Source organism: Homo sapiens, chromosome 4 (genome assembly GCF_000001405.40).
Source record: "Homo sapiens chromosome 4, GRCh38.p14 Primary Assembly".
Classification (NCBI taxonomy): Eukaryota; Metazoa; Chordata; class Mammalia; order Primates; family Hominidae; genus Homo; species Homo sapiens.
In genome coordinates this window covers 102,621,954-102,645,042 of record NC_000004.12, presented here as the reverse complement: position 1 = coordinate 102,645,042, position 23,089 = coordinate 102,621,954, and the positions used below count along the sequence as shown (strand labels likewise).

The following is a 23,089-nucleotide window of genomic DNA, read 5'->3' as shown; positions in this document are numbered from 1 at the left end:
AGCTGTAGTAATCAGGACAGTGTGGTAATGACAAAAGACAAGGTATATATAATAGATTGATTCAATAAAATTGAGAATCCAGGAACAAATATACATTTATGGTCAACTGATTTTCTTTTTTTAAAAAAATTAATATTTCTTTATTTTAATTGATAAATTAAAAATATATATTTGTGGTGTACAACATGATGTTTTGGTATATGTGTACATTATGGAATGGCTAATTCAAGCTGTTAAACATATGCATTGCTTCACGTACTTATCTTTTTTGTAGTGAGAACACTTAAAATCTACCCTGTTAGCAATTTTCAAATATACAATACATTATTAATTATAGTTACCATGTTTTACAATAGATCTCTTGAACTTATTTCTCCTAATTGAAATTTTGTATTCATTGACCAGCATCTCCTTGGTACTTCCTCTTTCCCCCATCCAGCCCACCATTCTACTCTGTGCTTCTATGAGTTTAACTTTTTTCAATTCCATGTATACGTGAGATCATGTAGTATTTGTTTGTCTGTGCATGACTTATTTCACTTAACATGATGTCCTCCAGTTTCTTCCAGGTTGTCACAACTGACAGGATTTCCTTTATTTTTAAGGCTGGATCGTATTCTATTGTGTATATGTATCACATTTTCTTTATGTACTCATCTGTTGATTTCATATCTTGGCTATTGTAAATAATGCTGTAATGAACATGGGAGTGTGGATATCTCTTCAACATACTGATTTCATTTCCTTTGGATAGATACACAGTAGTGGGACTGCTGGATCATATAGTAGTTCTATTTTTAATAGTTTGGGAAGCCTCCATACTGTTTTGCATAATGGCTGTACTAATTTACATTCCAAATGGTAAAAAGAATAAAATGGGAGGAAGAATCATGTTTTCAACAAGTGGTGCTGGAACAATTGGATATCCACATGCAAAAGAATAAATTCAGACCACTACCTCATACCATATACAAAAATTAACTCAAAATGGATCAAAGATCTATATGTAATAGCTAAAACTATAAAACTCTTAGAAGGAAACATAGGTATAAATTTTATGGCTTTTGGTTAGGCAACAGTTTCTTAAATTTGCCATCAAAGAAATTAACCAAAGAAAAAATAGGCAAATTGTATGTCATCAAAAACAGAAAACAAAAATACCTTTTGTATGGCAAAAGACGCTATCGAGAAAATGAAAAGATAATCCCCAGAATGAAAGAAAAAATTTACAAACCATATGTCTGATAGGGATCCAGCATCCAGAATATATAAAGAACTCTTAGAACTCAATAGTGAAAAAGACAACCCAATTGAAAAATTGGTAAAGGCTTTGAATAAACACTTCTTTAAAGAAAATGACCAGTAAACACATAGAAAGATGCTCAACATCATTAGTTATTAGAGAAATGCAAATCAAAACCACAGTGAGATACCAGTTATATCCACTACAATATCTACAAATTTTTAAAAAAGGAAAATAATGAGTATTGGCAAGGATGTGGAGAAATTGGAACCCTCATATGTTGCTGGTGGGAATGTAAAACAGTTCAGCTGCTGCGGTAAACAGTTTGTTAATTCCTTAAAAAGTTAGACATAGAGTTTGCCATATGACCCAGCAATTTTACTCTTAGGTATATATACTCAAGAAAATTGAAAGCATATGTTCATGCAAAAACCTGTTCACAGATTCATAGCAGCATTGTTCATAGTAGCCAAAAAGGGGAAATAACCTAATTTTTCAGCTGACGAATAGACAAGCAAAATGTAGCATCTCCATACAATAAAATATTATTCAGAAATAAAAAGGAAGCCAGTCACAGAAGCCACATATTTTATCATTCCATTTATGTGAAATGTCCGGAATAGGCAAATCCCAGAACAGAGGAAGTAGATTAAGTGGTTTCCAGAAGCCGGGGAGAGGGGAGGATGGGGAGTGACTGCTTCCCAGTATGGTGTTTCTTTTTGGGGTGATGAAAATATTCTGGAATTAGATAGTGGAAAGAGTTGTGCAACCTTATGACTGTGCTAAAAACCAATGAATTATAACCTCTAAAATGATGAATTTTATGGTATGTGAATTATATCTTGGTTTTAAAACAGCTTTGTTGGAAGATTCTTAGTGTCGGGATAATTTTAGTAAATAAAGTATATAGATATTGAGGGAACTTAGTCACATGGCTACTCAAAGTCCCAGGGGTTGGGGTGTGTTTCTGGAAAATGTAGTCCAGCTACAACTCCATCACTCTGGAGGAAAGGGATATTGGTTTTGGAAGACAGCTAGCAACCACCAGTGGCAGTGCTGGAACTGGAACTTAGGTCTTCGTATCTTGATCCAATTTCTTCTCACCATACCATCTGTCTCTCATAGGAGACTCATTTCATAAGTGTAATCAAGCAAGCTGCTGAGAATAGGCATTTTTTTCTTTTCTTCTTTTTTAGACAGAGTCTCGCTCTGTTGTCCAGGCTGGAGTGCAGTGGCTTGATCTCGGCTCACTGCAACCTCTGCCTCCCAAGTTCAAGCCATTCTCCTGCCTCAGCTTCCCGAGTAGCTGGGACTACAGGCATGTGCCACCACGTCCGGTTAATTTTTTGTATTTTTAGTAGAGACGGGGTTTCACCGTGTTAGCCAGGATGATCTCCATCTCCTGACCTCGTGATTCACCCACCCCAGCCTCCCAAAGTGCTGGGATTACAGGCATGAGCTATCGCGCCCAGCCAAATAGGCATATTTTTAAAACTAAAATTCATTTGTCTGCTAACAGTGGACTGGATAACCTAGAAAATGACTAAGCATTTATCCCTCTTATGTGTAAAGATTGCCCTTTTTAGGAAAGGATGCATGGATGTGTAAATATAGGTACAGTTTTTAAAGGGGAAGGGGAAGTTCTAGAGATTTTCCAGGGAACTAGGATTGTACAACACCCCTTTAAGAAGTTTAGTGGGCAATAGCCTTCTGCATTTTTATGAACAAAGGTGTCATTCATTAGCCTTGACTGGTACCCACTGGTTTGGATAGATTCAGGTCCATGTTATTAGCATGGTACCATCTGTGTGTGGAGTGTACTGCACTGTGCCAGAGCCTGGAGCACAAAAGAGTCTTGGTTATGCTCTTTCATGCTAATTTCCTGTAAGAGAGGCTACTAGATAGAGCCACTTTGTGCTCTTTTCTTTTCATTGCTAGTGAGGGTTAGGAATCCTACTTGCATTTAAAATTTTTTCAAATTTTGAAAATTCTAAGGAACTAATAAGTTTTACCTATTAAACCAGGAAAAAATAACTTATAGTGAGGAGATTAATGTTAGAATGGATATATAGAAATAAATATATCTTGCAGATAATGCTGAAAATTGATATAGTTTAGAGACTGAAAACTCAAATGTTTATAGGGGCCATGGTCATTTTGAGGTGGCACCAATGCTGCTTGCTTTGTGAGATTCTTGCTTTAGAACATTTTTTCCAGCTACTGTTGCTGTGGTCCTAGTGGTCTGGTTCCTGAATGAGAAGACATTGCTTTGTCTGCTCATAGCTAAAACCATCTCTTGCCTAAATGGTCTACCTAAATCCACTCTAGCCCCCTTGCAAGCCCTTCCTCCTTCAGTAGTCTCAGTCATCTTTTGGAAATGTAAATCTGCTCACATCACCCTTTAGTTCAAAAGCCTTTTGTGACCTCCATTTGCCTTTAGGATGCACACCAACACCTTCAACATGTGGCCTTCCAGGGTCTGGCCCCTGCAATTCTCACCAGCTTCTCTTCCATTGCTCCCGGCTTCCTGTGCTCAGGCCTTCTTGGCCTTCCTTCAGTTCTTAGCTGACCTGGCATCCTCCTCCAATGGTGTATTGTCCTCTCTGGAAGGTTCTGCCCTCTCTCTTTTTCCCATTCCTCTTCTTTTAGGCCAATCCTCACTCTACAGCTCTGCCCAATTGCCCCACCATATGAGCTTGTAACATTGCATACCTCTTCTACTTAGCATTGGTACTGTTTAATGATTACGTATCTTTCTGTGATTCTTTGATGAAGGACTGTCTTCTACACAAGCTGATAAGCTCCATATGGTGGGCTGTATCATTTTTTTCTGGCAGGGGTGCCCACCATTCTCAGTATGTAACATATCCTGCAGGTTCTTATTAAATATTTATTGACTGACCACAATTTCTTCTGGCTTCCGTTCTGGAATTTGATGGCTGTGACTCATGTAAGTCATAACCTCATCTATGACTTCCTTACTGGTCAGCCTTCCTCTATTTAAAGGTTCTACCTTTATCTGAGCTTTTTTGCTTTTATGGGAAAGCGTCTCGACTTAGTCTTTTGGTGGCCATATGCACCATTCTTTTTATTCCTCTGTGAAAACCCCAGCCCTATTCTAAGGCCTTCTTGTTCTCTGAAATCCTCGCTGCTCTGACCATCTCTGGGTTCTCCTCAGTGGTCCATTCATGAGCCCCTCCTCAGCACAACTCCAGGCTAAGAGCATGTGATTCATATGTGTCGGTAACGGCAGCGATAAAAGAGACTGATTTTTCCATGATGGTGTCGGTAATCAAGGGTCCTGTGTGAAGTTCTTTAGTGTCTCTTAAACAAGAACTAAATTCATTTGTCTCATTGCTGCAATTTGCCATCTGTTCTGCTACAACGAAGGAATTGCATTCATGAGAAATCTTACATTACCAAAAATCATGACATCAAAACAATTGTTTGACTAGAAAAAATAATTAGGGATTGGATAATATCAGACTCATAATAACAATGTTATTTTTCTTATAGAATTTTTTCTAGTAAAAGTTTTTCTTAAAAATAGCTATGAAGGTATTAGCAAAATTTTTCAGTGAAAATAATCTAGTTTTGGACTATATATAGCATTTGCTCTGGAATAGTAGTCTTTGTTTTTCTTTACGGCCTACACTATCATTAGCAGAGAACCTTTTACACCATCCTATTTCCATTGTCACCATAATGAAACACCAAGTCTACCAGACAAACCCACTGTTACAGACAACAGCTTCTCTCATGCTAAGGGGCTAGTTACAGATCTAGTATAATGTATTCCTAATACTAATTAAATTCCCTAATTTTATCCAAATTGCTCCAAAAAGAAAAAACCCAAAACAAAACTAAACCCTGTATTTTTCTCAGATCTAGGCAGTCTACATCAAACAATAACACCTGTGTATGAATGTTTTCCTGAATCAGGTGATGCAGGCCCAGTGTGTCAAAACAGAAACTGAATTCTACCGCCGTAGTCGCAGCGAGATAGTGGATCAGCAAGGGCACACGATGGGGGCACTTTATTGGCAGTTGAATGACATCTGGCAAGCTCCTTCCTGGGCTTCTCTTGGTAAGCATTTCAGCGTTCTTTGTGCGAGTGAGAGAAAGCAACACTGTGGGGAGAGGGACTGAGAAAGCACAGTGCTGGAGGGGTCAGATTAGCCCAGGCAGAACTATGACCAAAAGAGTCATTCTTTAAAAAGCCTGCCTAGGAACTACAGCCACCCAACTCACCTTAGTAGCCTTTCCATGAGCCTTAGGGTCAACCTAATTATGGGTTCTGTGCTGTGCAAAGTTGCAACAGCAGGCTAAGCATGGGATAGATTCCTATACAAAAGTCTCAGCCATGTGTCTTGTTATTACGCATAGAATTTTGAATTTATTTAAGAGGGCATTCCAGGGCTAAAGAAGCATGAACTTAAGCATCCCTTCTTCTGTGTTGGAGAATTCAATCAGGTAGAAGTTTGGCCCGCTTATGTGTTAAAGTTTCCCTTTCTCTGATTCACCTTTAAGGACAAATAAAGATGTCCTTTAAGGACATAATGAAGATGTCTCTTAAGGCCATCTTTATTATGCCCTGTTTAGCTCTTGGGGAAAAGCTAGTAGAGGCAGAATCCCGAATGGGAAAGGTGACCAGTTGAAACAGTTCAACTAGCAACAGGTGAGATGACTGGCATGGAACCTGCAGTTCGAATTATCCCATCTATTCTGGTACATTAAAAAAAATTAAGGAATAATAGTCTTTGCCCTTCACTAGAGATGACTTGAAACAAAGTTCAGTTAATAATGTAAAGAATAGTTTGGGGTCAAAAACGAGGCAAGGCCACAAAGTAGAAAGGTTGGGTGAGGTTCTTTTTGTTTTTTTTGAGACAGAGTCTTGTTCTGACACCCAGGCTAGAGTGCAGGGGTGAGGCTCTTAAACTGGCTGTGAATGCAGATCAAAAGAAATTCATTCCAAACATGTTTTCATTAGTGCCAGATGGATGACTCTTACAGAGAATTGGATTTCTAATCAAATTTCTCTGACCAAACTCTTTATCAGCACCAACCAGATAAGAGAGCATTGAATGAGAATCAGGGGTAGAATTGGGGGGAAAATCCTTCTGGGATGCTGGAAAGGTAGGCAAAGAGATAACTGTTCAGAGACTCTTGGATACTGATCCTGCTTTCTGTCTGTGGATGAGGTTGTGGACTGAAACTGAGTTCGATTCAAGAAATGGGAGAGCCCAATTTTTGTAAATATTCCTTTAAGTGATCCCATGCAGATTATTCCTGAGTTCCTCAGGAAGAGTAGGTCTGTGGGAAACAAGACACTCAAACTCTAAGTGGTTTTTTGTTTTGTTTTGTTTTTTTGTTGAGATGGTCTCACTCTGCTTTTGCCCAGGCTGGAGTGCAGTGGTGCAATCATGGCTCACTGTAGCCTCCACCCCACAGGCTCAAGCCTTCCTCCCACCTCAACTTCCTGAGTACCTGGGTCTATAGCTGCATACCACCATGCCTGGCTCATTTTTGTATTTTTTTTCTGGAGACAGGGTTTTGCCATGTTGCCCAGGCTGGTCTTGAACACCTGGTCTGAAGCAGTCTACCCTCCTCAGCTTCCCAAAGTGTTGGGATTACAGGCATGAGCCACCGCACCTGGCCTAAAAGTGCTTTGTTAATTCCCTCACTCCACAACAACAATCCACACAGAAGACTTCTGTGACCAAATATATGGGAAACTTCCCCCACACACCAAGCAAGCAATCACTTCTGCAGTGGACACCATGCGAGTGCCCTCCAATTTAAGTCTGACACTATCTACCTGCAGATTGCATCAGATTCCATAGGTTGAGAACTCAGTTCCACAAAGCTGCCTTCCCTCTTTAGACAGCAGTCGCAAGTCTGGGCCTCTAGAACTTCTGACTGACCAGCTTCAAGCTGGGGTTCCCATGACCCCTTCTTTGGGTTTAATTTGCTGGAATGGCTCACAGAACTCAAGGAAACATTCTAACTGCTGTATTACAGAGGATGTTTTAAAAGACACAAATAAACAGCCGTATGAAGAGATATATGGGGTGAAGTCTGGAAGGGTCCTGAGTGCAGGAACTTTATCCCTGTGAGGCTGGGGTGTGCCACCCTCCAGGCATGTAGATGAATACTTGTTCCTCTTTCTGTCAGCCTTCACATGGTCAGCTATGTGGAAGTTCTTTGAACTCTGTCCTCTTGGGCGTTATAGGGAGACTTCATTGGACAGCCATGATTGATAACCATGTAGAAATGTGATTGGACAAAGCGGGTATGATCTAATACCATTAGACTGAGTGGGGAAACACAGCAAGGCCTGTCCATTCAGCTTCTTGGCCTCTCTGTGAAGCATTTCCTCCTCCAGGGTATGAGGCAGGACACCTTCTGAATGAGTGTCTTATGACCCACAATCGGATTAGAGACCTGCCTTGGGCTGGTGAAAGGAGGGAAGGAGATCAGAGAGATAGATTCTGTTTTCTGAGGCCTGCTTTTGAGTCCTAAAGCTTCTCAACATTATAACAAGAGTCTGTAACAAGGGCTATGGTAGTTGTGAGCTAGGAACCTGTATTAGTCTGTTCTCATGCTGCTGATGAAGACATACCTGAGACTGGTAATTTGTAAAGAAAAAGAGGTTTAATGGACTCACAGTTCCACATGGCTGGGAAGACCTCACAATCATGGCAGAAGACGAAGGAAGAGCAAAGGGACTTCTTACATGGCAGTGGGTAAGAGAGGACTTGTGCAGGAAACTCCTTCTTTATAAAACGATCAGATCTCGTGAGACTTATTCACTATCACAAGAACAGCATAGGAAAGACCTGCCCCCATGGTTCAGTTACCTCCTACCAGGTCCCTCCTACAACACATGGGAATTGTGGGAGCTACAATTCAAGATGAGATTTGGGTAGGGGCACAGCCAAACCATATCTAACTGTAGAAGAAAAATTATATATGTATATATAATAATATTACAGTAGGAAAACCCAAGTACCAGAGCTTGGCTGTTTTCTAAACCCTGGCAGGATCCTGCCTGCCTGAGGAGGATCACCAGCTCCTTGTACTTATTAGACAAAAAGGTTATCCGGGAGAAGCTGTGACAAGTTTTCTATATCTGCTTCTGCTCTGGGGGCCTCACAGCCCCATGTTGATTGGCTCAATAAATCCACTGCTTCTAGTGCGTGCAGTAGGGGAGGTATTTGTTATCTCTTATCACCCGAAATGGTTATATATTAAAGCAATCAATAGCTACCTAGAATCTATAAGTTATTATATACAGTCATGCACCGTATAACATTTCAGTCAACAACACAGTTCATATATGATGGTGGTCCCATGAGATTATAATACTGTATTTTCACTGTCCCATTTCTATGATTAGAATTACCTACAGTATTCAGCACAGCAATATGCTGTACAGGTTAGTAGCCTGGAGCAACAGGCTATACCATATAGTCTAGGTGTGTAGTAGGCTATACCATCTTGGTTTGTTTAAGTACACTCTATGATCACACAATGATGAAATTGCCTAACAGCATGGTTCGTTAATGCCTGCCCTGGTTCGTTAGTGCCTGCCCAGATGTTGTGAGGGTGACATGACATAATGTCCAGAGTGCTCAGAGCGCTTCACAAACATGGGTGCCCTCCACTGTTGACTCTCCCTCACATGCTCACTCCCTTAGAACCCCGATGAGCCACAAACAGCTGGGCCATTGGACAGTGCCTCTCTGACTACTTGACCTTGCCGTCTCCTGACACTCTTGATTATTTTCAGAGTACGGAGGAAAGTGGAAAATGCTTCATTACTTTGCTCAGAATTTCTTTGCTCCACTGTTGCCAGTAGGCTTTGAGAATGAAAACACGTTCTATATCTATGGTGTGTCAGATCTTCACTCGGATTATTCGATGACACTCAGTGTAAGTTACTTGGATTGTTTTCTAAGATCGAAGGAGACTTTTAGATGATTTCTTTAGTTGTTTGGTTACATTCTTTTGGGAAAATAAAAGAGAAATTAATTTAGAGTTAGAATACATATATTCAGGCTACAACCCTGCCATTAATCATGTGACCATAAGCAAAACCCTTCACATCTTGTTGATTCAATTTCTTCTCAGTAAAATGATACCAGTCTCTCTTCTTACAGGATTTCTATGAGTAGGAAATAAAATAACTAGATGAAAGCAAATCACATATGCTATAATGTGCCCCTTAAATGCAAGGTTATTTATAATTGTGAGAGGCTGGAAATAGTCCAAACTTTATAAAAAGAAATGGTTAAAAATGGCATGTTATAGTGAAAATCAGTAAAACTATTCAGAATGCGCATGTGGAAAGCAAATTTGTTTTAAAAAACAAATTTAAGTAAAAAGAAAGGCTAGAAACTCAAAGTCTTAGGTGGCTATAGTTTGGAGGACACTAATAACACTGAAAATAGGTCACATTTACAGAAAAATTACAACGCACCAGGTACTGTGCCTTCCGTGGATTATTTTTTAAATTCTCACAACAGCCTGTGACATTACTGCTGTTATTTTCATTCTACATATGAAGAAATGAAGACTGAGAAGTTACTTAGTCACATAGCTAGTATTTTGCAGGACTGGGATTAAAACTCAGGTTTCATAGTCTCTTAACCATTTCTGCTAACCTGACTTTCAGCAATTATTACTACTATTGTTCCTTAAAAACATAGCAACCAAGAATGCCTGTTTTTATTCTGTTTTATTTCTCCCCAGGTGAGAGTCCATACATGGAGCTCCCTGGAGCCCGTGTGCTCTCGTGTGACTGAACGTTTTGTGATGAAAGGAGGAGAGGCTGTCTGCCTTTATGAGGAGCCAGTGTCTGAATTGCTGAGGAGATGTGGGAATTGCACACGGGAAAGCTGTGTGGTTTCCTTTTACCTTTCAGCTGACCATGAACTCCTGAGCCCGACCAACTACCACTTCTTGTCCTCACCGAAGGAGGCCGTGGGGCTCTGCAAGGCGCAGATCACTGTAAGCACAGGTCATGGCGGAGGGCAGGGGACTGTGGCCTTGTGGGGTTCTCCTGCTCTTGGGCCAGCTCCTTGCATCCTGAGATTTGCATGTGTCCCCCTTGGTGCTGAGTTTACCTGAGGCCTGGGGGAAGATTGGCCTCTTCCCACTAAAAGCAAACACCAAATGATTTCTATTTCGAATCCAGGATTTGTCAGAGTTGCTGGTGACCACTACTCGTTTGTCCCATCACCCCTCCTTAGTGGGCAGGTGCAGTGATGGGAGAGGAAGCTCGAGTCATCACCACTGCCTGCATGCCCACTAGGTTCCAGGCTGTGTTCTAGGTGCTTCACCTCATAGTCTCTGACTTTCACCACAGCTCCAGGCATTATCATCTGCATTTTGTAAGTTTGGAAGCCAGTTTAGGAGGTTAAGTGATGAGCTCGAGGTCCTGTAGCTGGGAAGCATTGGAGCCCAGCTGACGCAGTCTAATTTTAAGTAGAGTCTATTAATATTCACTCTAGTCTCTTTGATTTATTGCTTCAAAGTAGCTCAATCACCAAATCTTTTTATAATTGCCAAGATATAAAAATGGGATGATCAGGATGTGTTGTTATAAAAATTGTGCAGCTGGAGAATTTGGAATTTGTCTAGTAGGTTGAAAACCTTTCCTTCCTTCTCCCCTACACATAGCAGTTGGAAATATATGTACACATATATGTTTTTAATTTTATTATCTTATCTTCTGGACACTCAGGAAATATCTTTCTAGAAAGTTACATTCTCTGTTTTTAGAAAATTTTAAATTTGTTTTACACTTTTACTTCATAGAAAGGGATTTTCTACATTTAATTTAGAAATAATCATATAAAAACACCTAATTCTTGTGTTTTATTTGAAAGAGCCTAACAACTGAAAACATACCTTCTTTCTATAGTCACATAATAAAATCCAAGTTATCTGTAACAACTAATAGAGAACAGAAGAAAATGACAGTCTTACATATATTTTTTTCCAAAAAAGAAAAAAAAAACCACTATGTACTGGATGAATTTTCAGTCTCTAAACTTATGATTTTGAAAACCAAATTTTTTTCTTTCCTGAGTTAGGCCTTCATTACCTTGAGGTGGGTAATTGGGGTGGGAGAAAAGCAGGGCTCTTTCTTTGTTCTATCTCATTTTGATTTCAGTGAGACTTGTCCTTCTTAAAGAGATAAAATGATAGTAATAATACTGTTAGTTAATGTTTAATTCGGGGCTAATATAGACTAGGTATTTGGCTTCTTTTCTCAAGGGAGATGCCAGAAACTTGTTCTCCCTGTCTCCCTGAAGCCAGGGTGCAAGCTTGAATCCCAGGCTCTGCAGTCAGACATACAGAGAGGAGATTTCCAATCCAACGAAGATAACCAGCATAAGCATGACACCAGCATCTCTTTCGGCCTTGGTCTTGGAGCAGCAGAAGCTGATGCTACCCTGGCAGCTTCCTGGGCAGGCTGGCATGAGCCGCATGAACCTTGTTCCTGTGGCTGCTTTAGGACCTTCACTGGAACAGCTGGGCGGTGCGATCTGGGAATTTGCCATCCAAATTCAAGCCTGAGTCTCTGATCCTGAAGAGCAACCTGATACGCTTTATTAAGCTTCTTTTCTGCTTCTATCAATATAGGTTTCCTTGTGTATAACTCAGAACCCTGAATGATAACATATTACACAAATATGTAAGGCTAAATTATATATAGTGAAAATGGCCCTTTGAAATTCTTTATGTCACACATAACATATAATGTAAGACTGAGATGTTGCATGACAAATGCACAGATTAAGAAACCAGGTTGCACTCAGCTCCGTGCTCACACAAAGAGAGGTTTGCAAACCCTCCCACTCTGGGGAGCAGCGCATCCTCACTCTGGGCATATGCTATTCGGCTACTTAAGAGGAATGGAGCCAACACGATTTAAATTGCACTGTCTCTTTTTGCTGCTATTTTGTGGAATTCACACATGTAAAAAAAATGCTAATAATGTGACTTTACTTAACTATGCAGTAAAAGAGATAAGCTCTAATGGTAGAGCTTTTGTAAATTTCTGGCAGTGGACTTTCTAGATTGCTGGATCTTTTCAGGAGACTTGAATGTAAGCTCCACAGTTGGGCTCTGTAGCTAGGTCCAGATATATCCTTAGAAAGTCATTAAAACCACCCAGGCTGTATGTAAAAATGTTGCTCTCTTGATGATACTCTGAGAAAAACTGTAAAAGATGTAAAGCTTTGAGCTTCTTGTGAAATATTCTCCTTAATGATTGGAGACGATGTATTTCCTTGATTTGTGATTATAATTTGGTAACGTTCCATAGCCTGTAGTCATTTTCCATGTATTGTTTTGTGTTTGAAACTGCACTTTAGCAGTTGTAGAACCAAAGTTGTGGGAAGTGGACTCCTTGTTAAGCCCACATAAATGTTTACAGGAACTGTATACAGACTATATAACTCTTCCCTCATCCTTCACTTCATTCATTTTTTTTTTTCTTTTTCAGGCCATCATCTCTCAGCAAGGTGACATATTTGTTTTTGACCTGGAGACCTCAGCTGTCGCTCCCTTTGTTTGGTTGGATGTAGGAAGCATCCCAGGGAGATTTAGTGACAATGGTTTCCTCATGACTGAGAAGACACGAACTATATTATTTTACCCTTGGGAGCCCACCAGCAAGAATGAGTTGGAGCAATCTTTTCATGTGACCTCCTTAACAGATATTTACTGAAGGAATCTAGGTTGTATTTTCAGTGGACAATGGGAATAAAGCATTTCTAAAGCACCGACTGGAGAGGAAGGCAACAGAGACAAGGAGAGAAGCCGAGAGACATGTCTGCGTGCTGCCACGCATTTGAGCGATTGCTCTGTGAAGAGTTGTACACTGAACACTTTCAGGGGAGGCTGTTTACCCAGGCAATGTCCTCAAACAAGCCTGTGCCGGGGTGTCCTGGAATCTGTGCCAGGACTGTGTTTTTAGCCCTTCACCTCTCAGCTTTAGCAGGACATGAACCAGTTATAACAAGATGGCCCTGCAGCTGGTTACAAGAATGTGACATGGCAGGATCTATGGAACCAAATGGAAGGTTTTGAGGTGATGTAGGTCTTTCACAGCTAGCTTTGGGGAATACGGAATACTCAAATAAAGTGCTTTGTTATTATTTCAGAGGGAATGGCGATTGAAATGTTACAACAGAGATTTCTTGGTGGTAGCTATTTGGGTAAAGGTATATGGGTATTTTTCTGTACATGTGAAATTATATAAAAATAAAAGTTATATAAATTACATTGACAACTTGATATTTCATCTGTGGCTTATTTAACCGTTCTATAAATATTCAATTTTGCCCAATACTGTGCTGGACCCTAATTTCCATTTAGTTCTCGTTATTATTCTGCTTGGTAAACTGGGAGAGTTTGAAGAATCTAAACTAAGACATGTGAAAGGTTTTCTCTGGAAACAGTCATGTAATTGGTTATAGAATGGACCAGCAAAGAGTGTTTGGCTTTAAAATTAAGATATTATTAGTGGTTTTGGTTTTAAAAATGAGAAGCATTATGTTCAGTGACTCTAAAAGTAACTACAGACAATCCAGTCTTCTTCAGTATCTAAGAGTATCCTCATTTTATATGTACACACACACACACACACACACACACACACACACACACACACACACAAAGCCTTATCAAGGGGATAAGGGGACTTAGGGCTGGGACTCCGTAGAGTCTTACTTGGTAAATATTATGTCATGTTCTTATGACTATTGTAAATCCTGTTTTAGCAAAGCATTGCTGCGAGGCAGGGAGGACTGCTCTTCTTGACACCTGTGCATGTTCTGCCAGGGGCCCTGAGAAGGGGCTTTCAAGCTGATGAGCCAGAGTTTACTTTGTAGTTTGCCCTTACTAGTTCTGTAACCTTAATCAAGTTACTTAACTTCCTGTGCTCAGTTTTCTTGTGGCTAAATGGGAGTGGTAACACCCACCTTGTAAGTTTGTTTTGAAGAATAAATAAAATAATTTAGCTCAAGGGCTGGGCCCCAGATTGGCACATAGTGACGCTCTGTAATGGAAGCATCATCCTGGGCCTGAGCTCGGTGTCCTGGAGAGGGTGAGGCTTCCAGCCGCAGTCTCTAGATTCAAATCCAGGTACTGAAGCTTCTGACTGTGTGTCCTTGGGCAACAATTCAACCTTTTGAACTGTGGTTTCCACCTCTGTAAAATGGAGCTAATGATCCCTCACCTTCAAAGGTAGGTGTGAGGACTTAACAAATAGGGTCTGGAACAAATTAAAATGCTAAGTAAATGGTGATTGTACTTTTAACATCACATTCATTATCATCCAGTTAGTACAGAAAGCAATAGTAAAAATGAAGTGAAGAGAGGCAAATGGTAAGTAAGTTCTTCAGCAAATTCTTTCTGAAAATAATACCAGAAAAGAATAATTTGTAAGGGAAGAATAAATTAAAGGACATAAATATATGCTGACAACAACTTCTAAAAGAAAAGAAATGTGCCGTATACATATTATTCCTATTAAGGAATAATAGTAGCCAAAACATTCTTCCGCAGTTCTTGTGTGGCAGCACAGTTAGTCATTTTTACTGTTTTCATAGATTTATCTTGCCATGCAGGAATACAGTCTGATGCACTTACTCTTGACTTTGAGTTTCTGATAGGGTTTTTCTGTTAGTGGTTGTATTTGTCCATTCTTGCATTGCTGTACCTGAGACTGGGTAATTTATAAGGAAAAGCGGTTTAATTGGCTCACAGTTCTGCAGGTTGTACAGGAAGCATCGCACCGGGCATCTGCTTGGCTTCTGATGAAGCCTTAGAAAGTTTACAGTCAGGGCAGAAGGCGAAGCAGCGACAAGCATGTCATATGGCGAAAGCAGGAGCAAGCGAGAGAGAGTGGGTGGGAGGTGCCGCACACTTTTAAACCACCAGATCGCCTGTGAACTCAGAGCAAGAGCTCATTTATCACCAAGGGGATCCGTGCCTATGATCCGGACACCTTCCACCAGGCCCCGCTTTCAACATTGGAGATTACGTTTCAACATGACATTTGGATGGGGACATATATCTAAACCATATCCTTAGTTGTGTGAACAATAGGATAAAAAGACCAGAACCAGGTCTTACTGTCATATGCTCTTGCAAAGCACATTCCAGAGAGAGTGGGATGAAGAGAGGTCAGTTCCCAGGATTATATCTTCCCATTTCAGAACAGAGAGAACAATAAAAATCATAATTTTCTCATTCACATTCACGATAACTCTTCTTATTCTCTTTTTTTCCTTACTTCACTTTTCATTGTGAGACATTTTCACACCATGAGAAGTCACTTGGAAAATAAATAGAAAGATTTTGTTCTCTGTTGGAATGAAGGTGAACTGGAGTGCAGGAGAAATAAAGATATGTTTCCCTAACATTCCTAAAGTGACAAAGACCTGAGATAGAAAGAATATTCTCTTGGGCTACCTCTGGCTCTCAGATATGAAACTTATTCCCCAGCTTGGTAAGATTTAGGGAGAAAAGCAGGTAGGCATTGTCTGTGTGGGAAATTCAAAGCATTTGAAAACATCCCCAGAGTCTGCCTTGACTGAATGCAATCTTATTAATTCAATAAGCACATGCAATTAAAAGGGTTATGCAGAAAAGACAGTAATATTTTCAAGTGAATGGGAGAATTCTTGTTTTCTAATTGATTTATCAGAGGCATGAACCAGAGTAGCATACAAAACCTTAAAATCACTGGCAAAACCGGTGTTGTCTTAAGACATGTTTATATTCTGCCCCTAGACACTGTTTAACTTAAGGATTTATTCATTCATTTATCAAGCATGTACTGCAGACCACTCTGGGCAGGTATTGTCCTTGTCACTGGGGGTATGGCAATGAAAAAGGCAGACAAGTCCTAGTTCTCATGGATCATTAAACCAGCGAACGAGGCAATTCCAGCTGGCGATAAGTCCTTAAGGTTAATGTGATGGCGACAGGGGAGCAATGTTAGATAAGGCACCATCTTGTTCAATACTTCAGGGAAGCTTTTTGGAAAGTATATGGTAAAAAATAAGTGAAAAAATTTCAGTTGAGAAATGAGTCTTTAAAGACCTTCATTGTAATTAATACATAAGGAAAGAAAAGCACAAAATCAGCTGGTTATGTAGTTGGGGCTCTGAGCCTGTGATCTACAAGCTGGGGGTGAACTAACCTGCCAAGACATCTTTAAGTCCTTGTGTGGGGCCAAACAGTGAATGAACTTAGCAAAGATAAGACCAATGCATCACTGTTTCGTGTTTTATAAATATCTCTCCTTATAAATATCTCTCCTTATTTCTGTAGACACGGGTTACTGAATCCTGCCATGAAAGAAAAGTTTGCTTAACCCCTTAGGTTGGTCTCTGTCTTTAAACAAGATTTATTGAGCTCCCCTGTGTGCCACATCATGCTATGCAGTGATCAAGTACACATGATTATAGTAACACCTAAGTTACCTACAACTCTCAGGAAATGAGACATTCTGGCTCACGAAAATTTCTGTTTGAGAACTAGCACTCATCCCTGCCTCATAATTTAGGTGGGAACAACCCCCTTGTTCTGATTCTGTTCCTGTTACTTTTTGTTGGTTTTGTAAAATTTATTGGACCACTGCCAGTAGTTGGAGCAGACAGTGTTGGCTGGCCACCTCACAGCCAGATCTTCCTCCTCTCTGCTAATAGAGGTGGCCATGTCCAGCCTCAGAGACTGAATCATAATTTGTTATTCTAATCCTAGTCTCCATTGCCAGTGATTGATGTAGGGTTAGGCCCATGACACATTTCAAGAATGAATCATAAGTTGATGTCTAATGTGGGGTTTCTGGGGGAAGGTTTCCCTGCCTGATAAGGGATAGACCTGAGGCAAAACCCTCTGCTGTTGGGTAAAATTGAGAAGCTATTTGAGGGCCTGACACTTGGAGCTGCTGCAGCCTTTTTTTGGTGATCTTAAAGAAACATATTTGACAGGGGGTGTCAGAGATGTTTAGCTGCTAAATTAACCCTGCAACCATCTAACTGTGGTCTTATTATAATGTGGTAAAAAATAAAGGCTTAATTGTTTAATCTTGTAGTCAGGTGTTCTGATTTTACAACCCAAAGCATCCTAATTGATACAGCAGTTAAAGGTGTGGGCGTTGAAATCGGACTTACTTGTGTTTCAGTCCCAGATCCACCAGTAGCAGGCTGTTCTTCATTGGATACAGGCTACTGAGTCTTTCTGTGCCTTAGTTTCTTTAAACATGGGAACAATAACAACAGTATCTGCTTCATAGGTTAATTGTGAGGTATAAAGGAGATAATGCACAGATTATTGATAGCACATGATAACTATCCACCAAATGTGAGCTATTACAATCATCATTGCCTCTGTGTGAAGCCATCAGAAGAAATCTAGGGAGGTGGGCAGAACTGAACGTGTGCAGGCATTGGGTGGTGGCTGTGAACAGCATCAGACAGGAGAGCTGGAGGTGTCGGGGGCAGCAGTGAGCCTGGGAGAGGAGCAGGTAGGACCTGGATCCCCCCGCACCCTGCCTTGTCATCCTGAAGATTTAGGTCATATTTGACCAGCAGGTCATGGTCTAGACTGTGTTTTAAAAAGTTGAATTACATGCTAACATTTAAAAAGGGAAAGATTCCATGTAAAATATCGATGTATCTATCGCTGATCTTGTAATGGTATTTTTTAAAGCCCTTATTTGTTTAGCCCACTTATAGTCAGGCATTCTCATTTTATCATTAAAAGCATCCTCGTGGATAAAGACATGGGTCTTTGAGGTCAAACATATCTGGGCCTTGGAGAGGGCAGTGTGGGCACCTGGGTGTCCTGTTGGGAGATGCGTCACCTACTTCCTTGTGCTGGGATGCTGCAGTGGCAGTGGTGCCTCTAGTGAGGAAGGCTGTTGGGGACATAATTTGCTGAAGTGGGCTGGGAGCGGTGACTCACGCCTGTAATCCCTGCACTTTGGGAGGCCGAGGCGGGTGGATCATCAGGTCAGGAGATCGAGACCATCCTGGCTAACAGGGTGAAACCTCGTCTCTACTAAAAATACAAAAAATTAGCCGTGCGTGGTGGCGGGCTCCTGTAGTCCCAGCTACTCGGGAGGCTGAGGCAGGAGAATGGCGTGAACCCGGGAGGCGGAGCTTGCAATGAGCCGAGATGGCGCCACTGCACTCCAGCCTGGGCGACAGAGCGAGACTCCATCTCAAAAAAAAAAAAAAAATTGCCAAAGTGGGTGAAGGAAGGGCCCCTGCTCTTTTACAATGAGCTCTCAAGCCAAAGTGGGTGACTGGCATGCTTCCCTACCCATATTTTTGGTATTGGAATGAAAAGATTTTTAACTAGTCAACTTACAAACATGAATGAAATTTTGCCTTGTCAAAGATCCAAATTGTGTGTGCATGCACGTGCGTGTGTAAGTGTGAAGACTGCATGTGGTGCAAGGGCTATGGGCTCATGCTCTGATACTGAACCTCCCGGTACTGGCCTTGGACCAATCACTTAACCTCTAAGCCTCAGTTTCCTTATCTTGAAGTTGAGATTAATGGTAATAACTATCTCACAGTGTTCCTGTGAGGATTAAATAAAATAAAGATATAAATGTAGTAAATGCAATAAATGTTGGTTTATCAATATCATCCCTCAAAGGATAAGGCTGGTGGTGGCTGAAGTGTTCAGGCCTAAGAATCTTTGATTCCGCTTGCTAAAAGGAAAGAGCAACTTAAGCCTTCTGTACTGAGGGAAAATAATCAACAGGCTTCATGAACTGAGTTGAAGGAGAAAAATCCAGGCAGAAAGCTGAAGAAATTTCTAATTCCTTTTTTTTGGTAAGGTTTTTCCAATTTTACAGAAGCAATAAAATAAAATAAAATAAAATAAAATAAAATAAAATAAAATAAAATAAAATAAAATTGAGTAGCAATAGGCAAGCCAGCTGTTGGATGATTGTGCAAAGTTCTGCTTCTTCCAGCAGAGGCCTCTTGTGCTCAGGAAATGAGGCTAGTGGTGTGCAGAAGGGACTGCCCTGGGCCAGGGTGCTGGCTTCCTGGAGGCTTCCCCAGAGTACAGGGCATTTGCTGCCTTCAGCGAGGCGAGGGGAGCCTAAGGAAACACTTGCAGGGCTGCTCCCCAAACCCCTCACCTTCTGGGCTTCAGGGAGTTGGATGCCAGTGCCCCAGAGGAATGCATGAATGTGAAAGTACCTTAAAGAAGGAAATAAAGAGAAAGAAAAGAAGGGAGGGATGAAGGGGGAAAGAGGTGGGAGAAAGAGAAAAAGAGAAAGAGAAAAAGAAAGAGAAAGAGAAGAGTTGAGAGAAAGAGACTAGGAGAGAAAGAGAAAGGAAAAAGGAAGGGAGAGAAGAAGAATGAGAGAGAAAAGGAAAGAAATGGTGAGAGAGAAAGAGAAAGGAAGAGAGAGAGAAAAGAGAGAAAGAGAAAGCGGAGGGGAGAGAGAAAAGTAGAAGGGAGAGAAAGGAAGACAATGAGAAAAGGAGAGAAAGGAAAGGAGAGAGAAGAGATAGACACAGGGAGAGAGAAAGGGAGAAAGAGGAAGGAGGGAGGTGAGGAGGAAGGGTGGAAGGAGAAAGAAGGAACCCAAAGGGCGTCTCTGTTTGCTGAGCTCTGGTTTCTTCCATGGATCCAGGGCTAATAAAGGCTGAGCACCAGCATAGCTGGATCACAAGGTTCAGATCCACAGAGCAAATTTGTCTACTTTCTGCCTGTCTTTTGGTTACAGACAGGTCCCAGACTTAACAATGGTTTGACTTACGATTTTATGACTTTTTGACTTTATGATGGGTTTATCAAGGTATTAAGTGCACTTTTGACTTATAATGGGTTTATCAGGACATAACCCCATTGTAAGTGGAGAAGCATGTGTATTTCATTTCCATCCACTGTTGCTACCTTGGCAAAAGTGTGGCATATAAATGCTTTTTAATTCAAATTTACTTACTATGGATCTATGAAAACTTGGTACCAAGCCTCCTGAATAGATGATTGACAGAGGAGAAGTCAGATGAGCTATTTAAAGGCTTAGTAACAAAACAATCAGGAAAGGGCCAAAACTGTGAGCTATGGGCGTGATTTGGGGAAAGGAATTACATTCTGCTGGTGGAGGGACCAAAATCGTCCTTGGCCCACACGCTGTGTGCATATGTTGCTCATCATTCAAGATGTGCATTTGGCTAGGCAGTAAAGGAAGGCGGGGCCAAATGGTGGCTTTGACCTTCCCAGATCAAAACTGGGATGGAGAAGAATGCTAAGGACTGCTTGCATCAATCAGGCCTGAGAGGTTTGCTCATCTGTGAGCATATATGCACTTCCTGAGCATATATGGTCTCCATATACTGGGGAGGTAAAATTCCCCCTGCTACTGTGGTCGCTGGCAGCAGTGGTGGAGGGGCAGGAGCTTCAGGACCTAAAGGAAGAGAACAAGAATGTTGCTTTTTGGCAGCCCTGCTCCTGTAGCAGGACCTGTCTGTGGGATTACGATGGGTCTTTACGGGGATGTCATTTCTGATCCCTTTGGCCTCCCTAGGCCAGGCTTTGCTTCAGCTGGGAGGCAGGATTCTGCATTAATGTGGGTGGCCCATGGATAGCTTTTTGGGGGTCCTGGCTTGAATTGTTGAGGGAAGGTGAAGGGACACAAAGAAGTGGCAGAAAGAAGCAAGTGGTGGAGAAAAAAAGCTTCTGAGGGCCCCAAAGCAAAAGGAGTGGGGCTGGAAGGAGTGGGTAGGAGGAAGAAAGTCAGCATGGACTCAAGGCCTCTTCCTGGGCCTGTTCTTGGGGACCGGTGCCAAGCATCATGTGTGCTGGAGCTGAGTTCATTTGTTGAGGGAATGCTGGCTTCCTGCTGTTTGGCCACCCTTGGATAATACTTCAGAGCCCCCTGTTGGCAAGCTTCTTCCCTTTCCTGGGCATGACCCACCCCTTTGAAACAGTTGTGTGTTCCGTGACGCACTGCTGCAGCGTGAAGCCAAGGAGCACAGTATGGGGATTGAAGACTGAGTCCCGGCCCAGCCTTTGCTCTTTACATTAGACCAGGGGCCTTCCAGCACATCAGCAACTCTGTCCTGTGGACAATGGCAGGAATTCAAACCCCTCCCTGTTCACCTCTCAGGCTGCTATGACAGTCAGTACTTGAAAATATTTTCTAAATGAAAACATTTACATTTAAAGTTTTTTATTTTGCGAATTTTTTTCAAAATTACAGAAAAAAATTATTTCAAAAGACTTTTGAACATTTGCATTTGAATAAGGTGATAAAAAGGGATGCTGGAAATGTAAAAAAAAAAAAAACCCACGACATGAAGTTTTTCATTCAATTTTTTAAAGCCAAAAAATAAGTTGTGCATTATTGCTTTAGGAAAAGGAAAAAGGGAACTGCGAAACAGTTTTGAAATGAAGAAAATATCGATCTCTTTTCGCCAGGGAACAGACCTAGTAACCTGGTTGTCTGCTACTGGGCATCGACTTACAGCCTTCCCTGATCTGATGTGTCCCCAACATAGTCCTCAGGGTTCCATCTCACTATCTTCATCACCAGCTCTGCTTCCTGGATCCCAAGAAGGAATCCTGGGAGAAAAGTTTTCAAGAATTTGTTTCATCTGCTATCCTTCTGGCCTGAAGAGAATATTATTTCCACAAGAACCAATTTCTGCTCCTTTCCAATTTATCTGAGAAAATGGGAGCCAAGGTCTTTCCAGCTTTCTGCAGAACACAACTAAGATAAACTTGCTTGTCCCTTTCTTTTGGGTAGGATCTTAAAGGGCCAGGGCCTCTTGAACGCTAACTGTGGTGTCTACAAGCCCAGGACTTCTTGTGCAGCGTTTAAGGAACTACGGAGCATAGAGGTTGGAGAGCAGAGATCTCTGTGAATCAGTGCGAGGGCAACAAGATATAGCTGCTATACCTCTTCCCCAGCCTACCTGCCCTCATATCCTTGATCATCTCTGAGGATTTCCTTAAGAAAAACTGTGACTTTGTGCTTACAATGCAATCTTCATGCTTAATCCTACGAAATGATCTTGCCTTTAGTGATGGCCATTTACCATGATTGCAGGTGACTTTCAGAGTGAATATCTGCATACAAGTTGCAACTAGAAAGAACCTTATGGCTCAGCCTCCCTCAGTGAAGGGATTATTACCTGTGCCAAAGGCTGTGACCTGTTCCAAAATCAACAGCTCTCTTAATACTGGGAACAGAAGTAGACCACCCTTCTATCTTCACTGCTCTTAGTGTGACCAAGGGACTGAAGTTTTTCTCCAGCACAACATGAGAGGAGGTGACACATTCAAAACTCCCTCACATACTTCTCTCAACATTTTTCTCCTGGCTGACTGGGGCTATCGCCCCTAGCAAGACCTTAGGAGCCAAGCGTTGGAGGAAGAATGACTGTCAGCCTGGATCCATGTGTGGCTAAGTGGAAGAGAGACACTACTCACCCCTGACCCTGCTGCAGTGTTGTTACTGGAGTCAAGTGATCCTGCAGTCATGCCTCTCATGTGTCTCAGTTTCCCCATGACCACCCATTGTAGTGCCTGGCAAGCAACAGATGCCCAAGAAATCTTGATTGAACACATATCTTTATTCTTTGAAGACTCTTGTGATAGTTCAATGAAATAATCACTTTGGAAAGAGGTATCAACGTGGAAAAGCTAGTTGACAGAAGTAAGATGATGCTATCTCAGCCCCTTCCTCCCTTTCATCTTAAGAAGCTTGAACAACTTGTGGAACTATTCATTTGTCCAGGGTAACAGAAAAAGGCTATTGTGGACATAATGAAATCCATGGTA

At 41.4% G+C, this 23,089-nt stretch overlaps 1 protein-coding gene across 4 annotated transcripts in view, besides 2 other annotated features; it reads left to right on the top strand.

The window, feature by feature from the left end:
• The window catches only part of MANBA (mannosidase beta), a 130,199-nt gene extending 115,926 nt beyond the window's left edge, over nucleotides 1-14,273 (top strand). For all 4 annotated transcript variants that reach the window (NM_005908.4, XM_047415692.1, XM_047415693.1 and 1 more), the window contains 4 exons: nucleotides 5,186-5,330; nucleotides 9,036-9,178; nucleotides 9,998-10,255; nucleotides 12,762-14,273. In NM_005908.4, the coding sequence (NP_005899.3) occupies nucleotides 5,186-5,330; nucleotides 9,036-9,178; nucleotides 9,998-10,255; nucleotides 12,762-12,986 (771 nt within the window). In that variant the 3' untranslated portion in view covers nucleotides 12,987-14,273. The remainder of the gene's footprint in view (nucleotides 1-5,185; nucleotides 5,331-9,035; nucleotides 9,179-9,997; nucleotides 10,256-12,761) is intronic.
• Nucleotides 6,419-6,919: an enhancer, noted in NCBI's record as "H3K27ac hESC enhancer chr4:103559281-103559781 (GRCh37/hg19 assembly coordinates)". NCBI's record gives its function as "activates a minimal SCP1, AML or CMV promoter by ChIP-STARR-seq in primed H9 embryonic stem cells {active_cell/tissue: H9 hESC(primed)}" and the evidence as "EXISTENCE:reporter gene assay evidence [ECO:0000049][PMID:30033119]".
• Nucleotides 6,920-7,420: an enhancer, noted in NCBI's record as "H3K27ac hESC enhancer chr4:103558780-103559280 (GRCh37/hg19 assembly coordinates)". NCBI's record gives its function as "activates a minimal SCP1, AML or CMV promoter by ChIP-STARR-seq in primed H9 embryonic stem cells {active_cell/tissue: H9 hESC(primed)}" and the evidence as "EXISTENCE:reporter gene assay evidence [ECO:0000049][PMID:30033119]".